This window comes from Homo sapiens, chromosome 9 (genome assembly GCF_000001405.40).
Source record: "Homo sapiens chromosome 9, GRCh38.p14 Primary Assembly".
Taxonomy (NCBI): domain Eukaryota; kingdom Metazoa; phylum Chordata; class Mammalia; order Primates; family Hominidae; genus Homo; species Homo sapiens.
Window position 1 is genome coordinate 78322594 of NC_000009.12, and position 7897 is coordinate 78330490.

A 7897-nucleotide genomic window follows, 5' to 3' on the forward strand; every position below is an offset into this window, starting at 1 on the left:
AATCAAAAATGACAGAATGAGAAAGATTTTGTAGTATATTAAACATAAAGGTTACTATCCTTAATTTAGGCAAGAACCCACAGATGAATGAAAAAGGATAAGGAAATAAAAGTGGGGGTGTGGTGGTTGCTAACAGTATGAGGAAACAACTCAGAAGAAATGCAAGCTGCCTCATAGACAAATGGAAAGATGCCACCTTCATTAGTTCCTTAGGAAATGCAGATTAAACCCATGAGATATGTTTTGCCTTTCATCTGCATACATTAAAAGGATTGATAACATCTGGTGCCAGCAAGGGCATGCACTTTTGGTGAGAGTATAAATCTGGACAAATTTGGAGCAAAGATTGCAGCGCTCATTATAATTCAAAACTTACATGGGCTTTGACCAAGGATTTTGATGTCTACAGATTTACCCTTCCCCAGCACTCTGCCTGGGTACAGTGGTGTGCACAAAATTAGGGACCAGCAAGTCCAATGTAAGATGTAATGGTGGAAATATGCAGTTGTGCCCATCAGTAGGGGTCTGATGAAAACAATGAGGATCTGTGGGTAATATGGAATGACTGCATTGAGAAGGATGAAGCGGGTCTCTTAGCAGACATGGGAAGATGACTGTGTTATGTCATCAGACCAAAAGGAGCAAGAGCAAGTGTAGGAAAAGACAAATCTATTAGTCTTTAAAAACTACAACAAGGCCAGGGACAGTGGCTGATGCTTGTAATCCTAGCACTTTGGGAGGCCAAGGTGGGAGAATTGTTTGACCCCAAGGAGTTTGAGACCAGCCTGGGCAACATAGTGAGACCTCGTCTCTACAAATAATAATAATAATAAAAAATTAGCCGGGTGTGGTGGTACATGCCTGTAGTGCCAGCTGCTTGGGAAGCTGAGGCGGGAGGATCGCTTGATCCCAGGAGGTCAAGGCTGCAGTAAGCTGAGATTGGACCACTGCACTCCAGCCTGGGTGACAGAGTGAGACCCTGTCTCAAACAAAAACAAAAACAAAACTACAAGAGTTATATATACATACATATTTACACATAGACACACATACATGTATACATGCATATGCACACAGACGTACATGTGTATATCTAAAATGATCTTCAGGAATGCACAGCAGACCATTAGGGTAGCCACCTCTTGTGGGAAGAGGGGTGGCAGATCTTCATATTTTTATTCTAGATTTTCATAATCATGTACAAATTTAAAATTAATTTTTTGTTGACAAAACCAGGCAGTAAGGAGAGGCCTACATAGGGTTGCATTTGGTAGGCTTCTCTTCACATACTCTTCTTTCTCATTCCCTGTGTATCTGACACATCCTTTCAGAGGGGCCTGACTGTGGAGTGATGTTTCTTCACTGCCTGCTCATCTCCTGTGACTTTCTTGCGTTCCCTTCTGAGCCTTACCACCTTCGTGGGATGGGTGTCCCTGGCTGAAGGTGTACCTCTGCCATGTTCCCCTCCTCCAGTACCTTGGAAAGTCCCGGTGTGTCCCTGAGCAGCGTGTCTCCGAGGGGACTGTCTGGAACTCTCATCCCCACAATAGGAAGGGTTTTTCAGTCATGGGGGAACACTGCGTTCCTGTCTGACCTCCTGGGGTTCCTCATTTACGTGGTCGGTGAGCTGTTGAGAGGCTTCAGGAAGTCAGGAGTGAGGAGGTCTGCCTAGCTCTGTGAATGCAGCTTTCCTAAGTTTCTCTGGCCATGGAACCACTTTCCCAGAATGCCTGTTGACATCTTCGTGCTCCACCAAGATGTTGGGAAGTGCGGCTCTTTCCCTGGTTCCCACTTGGACTTTCTCCTTAAATCTTTGCAGCCCTGGGATTTCCAGCTGGTTCCATGCCCATCCATAGCCCACATAGCCTCTCAGTCTGCCTTGGCCCCTTCTCCTACCTCGGCCCTCAACCCATTCAAACAACAGACCTGGTCACCTCTGAAATTTGGTGTTAACTCCAGGGATTGATTGCTCACTGGGGAGCAGGGGCTAGATCCAGCCCACAGTGGTGCTTGACGGGGTCACCCATGTTTAAAAACACAACTTGAGCCAATATTGGGCTCTTGGAAGATACTTAGAGATCTGGTTTCTTATTCCATAATCCATGTGCCTGTGAAAATGGGAAAAAGAAACTTTGACAGGGATAGCCATATGTTTCAGGAAAAAAAAAAGGGAGAGCCTCTTTTTCAGACTAGTCCTCCACGTTTAAAATGTGAGAGAGCTTGTTTGCACCTTCCACACCGGCCCGTCCTACTCATTTATGTGAGTGGTGCGGGGACATGCTGGCTTAGAGTTTGCCGCCCATGCTTGAAGCTCCTCGGTGCCGGCACCTTGGTACAGGCCCTAGTTCTTTTGACCTAGAAAGCTTTTTTTTTGTTTGTTTCCAGCCATTTCCTTTTTTTAATTTACAGTTTGCGTTCAGTGCAAACCCATAGCATGAGACATTACTATGAATCAAAATGTAAATACACAAACACAATATAGAATCCAAAACAGAGGTGCAGCTTTCAGGAATGAAGCAGAAGACAGGTTCATTCACATGCACAGTAGCTTCAGGGCTGTGTGATCTGGTTGTTCCCATGTAGCTTCCTAAAGATGGAAAAAAATGATTTTGGTCATCAAGACTACTGTGGCCATATTAGATACTGGAACCGTAGAAAGTTCTTCATAAGAGCTTTCCAGCAGGTCTGTGCGTTCCCAGTTTCTTCACCCCCCAGTCTCTCCTCTGTGTGCTGTAATTATTTTTCTAAAACACAGACCGCATTTTGTTGTGGATTACTCCTCATTGCTCAAGGATCCAGTCCAGTTCCCAGCAGGGCACTCCACAGCCCCGGCCCTGTAGGTCTTCCAGCCACCCCAGCCAGGAAGCCAGTGCTCCAGTTAAGTCAGCAGACTTGCCGGAAGCCTTTGTGCCTTTGCAGATGCAGCTGTCTGCCAGATGCCCTTTCTTCTCATCTGTTGGAACCATGCCTTGTCCCCTCCCCTGAAACCTGTCAACCTTGCCGCTGCTGAATTCCTTATCTGGCTTCTCTGCCTTTGCAGCCCTTGGCTGTTACAGCACTTCCTACGTATAATTGTGATTCCCTCCGGAGCCATCTCTCTGTAGATTGGAAGCAGTTAATTTCCCTTAATCTTTTTTTCTCCCCCCAGCCCCATACTAGAGACACTCTCCCATGGGTAGTGCATAAATATTTGTTGCATGACAATTTAGTCTTTAATTTCTCACTTTTATGACATTATTGCTTTGTGATATCTTCTACTTTCATGATAGGATGGGTAAATTGCAGGGAGAGGAACTGTAAATACGGATGCTTAATTCTTCCTGCTTTCAATTTTTTTCTGTTAAGTTAAATGTGCTTTTTGTTGCTCCACCTCTCTGATTGGAGCCTCACATTGGGAGCCTGAGGCAGTGGAATATCAAAAGAGGGTAGCCGTTGAATGTTTATTTTCAATGTCAGCCGTGAAACCTACCACTTCGAATAGTGGGGCCTGGAATTCAGGCTCAAAGTCTTTTCCCCATATTTGTTTCCCCCTTTGGCCTCTCTTTTGCTTGAAGCTGTGTACTAGACTCTCATTAACTTTAACAAGAATTACAGATGTGCCCTCAGGGGGCCTCTCACACTGCCTTTATTTGCTGTAATTTTAATGAATTCCACCCGTAGAAGTGTAAGAATAAAAGAGGATATACTTGAGCAAAGGGAAAGAGAGGGTTATTACACATTGTACCTTTTTTTAAAAAAATTGCAGAGTAATGTCAGCTATTCTTCCATTTGTCTCCTTTGGTTGCCAGTGAAAAATAATTTTGGCTGCTTATTTTCCAAAGCAGAAACTGAAGTCAAACACGAACCTTTCCTAGACAAAAATTCACTCATAATCATTTTTGAGAGTCGATATGTACCTTATGCAAAGTGCTGGGAATAAAAAGATGAATTTATTCCCATAAATATGTACACCTACTATGTACCCAGAAAAATTTAAAATAAAAATTTTTAAAAAGATAGATGTATTAACAGGTACTTATATAGCATTTAATATGTTGCAGACATAGTTTTAAATTGTGTCAGTTATTTGTTTCTGCATCATAGAACACCTTAAAACTTAAGTGACTGAAAACAACCACCATTCACTTGCTCGTAGTTTTTTGGGTCAGCAGGTTGGGCTGAGCTCAGCTAGGGGGTTCTTCTGCTGGTCTTGGGATGCCTCATTCTACTGAAGTCGTCATCTGGTTATTCATTTGGAGCCAGATGGTCTACAGTGGTTTCACATATCTGGCAGTTGGTGCTGGCTGTTGGCTGGGACACTTATCTCCAGCACTCTAGCTCAAACATGCTTAAGTGACAGCAATATATATATATATATATATATTTTTTTTTTTTTTTTTTGAGACAGAGTCTTGCTCTGTTGCCCAGGCTAGAGTGCTGTGGCACAATCTTGGCTCACTGCAATCTCCACCTCCCGAGTTCAAGCAATTCTCCTGCCTCAGCCTCCTGAGTAGCTGGGATTACAGGTGTGTGCCAGCACGCCCAGCTAATTTTTGTATTTTTTTTTTTCAGTCGAGATGGGGTTTCACCATGTTAATCAGGCTGATCTCAAACTCCTGACCTCGTGATCCACCTGCCTCGGCTTCCCAAAGTGCTGGGATTATAGGTGTGAGCCACCGCGCTTGGCCATGACAGCAATATTTTAAGAGAGCGGGAGGAGAGGCTGTAAGGTCTTTTGAGACCTAGGCTTGGAAGGTGCAAAGAGTCTGTTGTAAACTCTTGGCCAAAGCCAGTCAAAAGGCCAGCCCAGATTCAAAAGATGGAAAACTAGATTCCACCTCTTCTTATTTTTAAATGGGCCACAAAAATTCTCTATAAAGACTGACTTATTTAATGCTTACAACAACTTGAGGTGGTTGAGGTAGGTTCCTCTATTATTCCCACTGTTCAGATGAGGAAGGTGAGGCATAGCAGAGAGGTTAAGTAACTTGCTCAGGGTCACACAGCTTGGGGCAATACACCATGGTAAGTCCTTTGGAAGTTGCTGCTCATTATTTTTGCCTTACAGCCACTATAGGACCAACTTATTATTTCTCTGCAGCCTTGCAGAGAAAGAGGTCACTCACATTTGCCGTGCAGCTGCCATGTGTTGGAAGCTTCATATATGTAGTACCACTAAACCGTCACAACTAGTCTGAAATGGAGATATTATTATTCCCAGTATTCAGGTGAGGAAACTGAGGCTGATGGAAATTAAGTACAAGTCATACAAGGGGATGATAACCCACTGTTCCATATGCAAGAGTTTGTTTTCCCTAAGTAAACAATAAATGTGCTGGGGCAGATTTTTTGTTTTTTGTTTTTTAAAAAATCTTCTGCTTGCATCTAGGAAGTGTTAAGAAAAAAAAATCTGTTGATTTGTTTATGACAACCCATACATTTCAGAAAAGTAGCTGGAATAATAAACATGTTTTTCAGTTGTCCAGTGGAGCCCCAAAATAGAAGCAAGATGAATATTCCATTCCGCATTGGCAATGCCAAAGGAGATGATGCTTTAGAAAAAAGATTTCTTGATAAAGCTCTTGAACTCAATATGTTGTCCTTGAAAGGGCATAGGTGAGTACATCTGCAATGCACGAGCTTGGCAAAGAATTAGCTTAGTTTTTCAAATGCAGAATAAAACAAATCTATAGGAGCCTGCTTAGCTTGGAGTAGCAGTTATGTAATTTGTTGGGCCAACCCAGCTGTTATAAGGATGTGCCTTCTTCCTGTTGTTTATGGAACCCTTTGCATAATTCCCCAGCTGAGAGTATAATGGAGCTCCATCTTCCATGAGGGTTTTGGCAAAATTACCTTTGAAAATCTCTTACACTGCTCGTATAGCACAGAGGTTGCCATTCCATCTCTGATGAGGCCAGCACCACTCTGTTCTGGAGGTAGAGAATCATTATTATTCCAACTGAACATCAAATTAGTAGCTAGTCTTGCATGCTCTATGAAAAATAAATGTCCTCACATGAGAATAGCAGCAGGGAATGTCCTCACATGAGAATAGCCCAGCCCCGATCTTGCTGGCACTGTCACGACAGGCTCATGAATGTTGAACAGAATCGCTATCTTCTTCCAACTTACCTTTTCTTCCCCACATCTTGCTTGCTTTCTTTGCCAAGAGTGAATAGTTCGAATGACTCTAAATGTGAGCATGGTGAACCTTCACAGCTTAAGGGAGAATTTTCTGATGACTGAGACGTGTGAAGCTCTGTGCCAGGTGTCGGGAGTTTTTAGGTAGGAGACCGGAAATGATGGTCTCAGGTGCTGCAACTCTCAGGAGCCAGTGGCTAGAAAAAGGTGTTTTGATGCGAAATTAGACGTTTTTGTTCTCAATGCCTGGATCTTTGGTCATTCTAGGTCTGTGGGAGGCATCCGGGCCTCTCTGTATAATGCTGTCACAATTGAAGACGTTCAGAAGCTGGCCGCCTTCATGAAAAAATTTTTGGAGATGCATCAGCTATGAACACATCCTAACCAGGATATACTCTGTTCTTGAACAACATACAAAGTTTAAAGTAACTTGGGGATGGCTACAAAAAGTTAACACAGTATTTTTCTCAAATGAACATGTTTATTGCAGATTCTTCTTTTTTGAAAGAACAACAGCAAAACATCCACAACTCTGTAAAGCTGGTGGGACCTAATGTCACCTTAATTCTGACTTGAACTGGAAGCATTTTAAGAAATCTTGTTGCTTTTCTAACAAATTCCCGCGTATTTTGCCTTTGCTGCTACTTTTTCTAGTTAGATTTCAAACTTGCCTGTGGACTTAATAATGCAAGTTGCGATTAATTATTTCTGGAGTCATGGGAACACACAGCACAGAGGGTAGGGGGGCCCTCTAGGTGCTGAATCTACACATCTGTGGGGTCTCCTGGGTTCAGCGGCTGTTGATTCAAGGTCAACATTGACCATTGGAGGAGTGGTTTAAGAGTGCCAGGCGAAGGGCAAACTGTAGATCGATCTTTATGCTGTTATTACAGGAGAAGTGACATACTTTATATATGTTTATATTAGCAAGGTCTGTTTTTAATACCATATACTTTATATTTCTATACATTTATATTTCTAATAATACAGTTATCACTGATATATGTAGACACTTTTAGAATTTATTAAATCCTTGACCTTGTGCATTATAGCATTCCATTAGCAAGAGTTGTACCCCCTCCCCAGTCTTCGCCTTCCTCTTTTTAAGCTGTTTTATGAAAAAGACCTAGAAGTTCTTGATTCATTTTTACCATTCTTTCCATAGGTAGAAGAGAAAGTTGATTGGTTGGTTGTTTTTCAATTATGCCATTAAACTAAACATTTCTGTTAAATTACCCTATCCTTTGTTCTCTACTGTTTTCTTTGTAATGTATGACTACGAGAGTGATACTTTGCTGAAAAGTCTTTCCCCTATTGTTTATCTATTGTCAGTATTTTATGTTGAATATGTAAAGAACATTAAAGTCCTAAAACATCTAAGCCCTTGTCAATGAATTTCTCTACCTGCTTTTTAGACAAATTGTTCTTTATGATGGGAAAGCTTGAGGTCTAAAAATAGCACCTGCTAAGGGTAATTTAGTTCAACCAAAGATCTAAGACTTAATTCTTGTGCATCCATTTAAAAAAATTCAACACGGTGTGGGAGCTTTCCATTTGCTTTTGGAATGGGCATTATCAGCAAACCACCTTCCATTGCAGCTGAAGGTGTAAAGTTCTTTTTTTTTAGATGGAGGCTCGCTTTGTCGCCCAGGCTGGAGAGTGTGGTGGCGCAATCTCGACTCACTGAAACCTCCCCTCCCAGGTTCAAGCAATTCTCCTGCCTCAGCCTCCCGTGTAGCTGGGACTACAGGTGCCAGCCACCATGCATGGCTAATTT

General features: G+C 42.4%; 1 protein-coding gene across 2 annotated transcripts in view; it reads left to right on the forward strand.

Annotated features, from left to right (window-relative positions):
• PSAT1 (phosphoserine aminotransferase 1) overlaps nucleotides 1-7500 on the forward strand; it is a 32969-nt gene extending 25469 nt beyond the window's left edge. The window contains exons 8-9 of one of the 2 annotated variants that reach the window (NM_058179.4): nucleotides 5458-5595; nucleotides 6388-7500. In NM_058179.4, coding sequence (NP_478059.1) covers nucleotides 5458-5595; nucleotides 6388-6493 — 244 coding nt within the window. In that variant the 3' untranslated portion in view covers nucleotides 6494-7500. The remainder of the gene's footprint in view (nucleotides 1-5457; nucleotides 5596-6387) is intronic. The other variant, NM_021154.5, reaches the window with a different exon arrangement.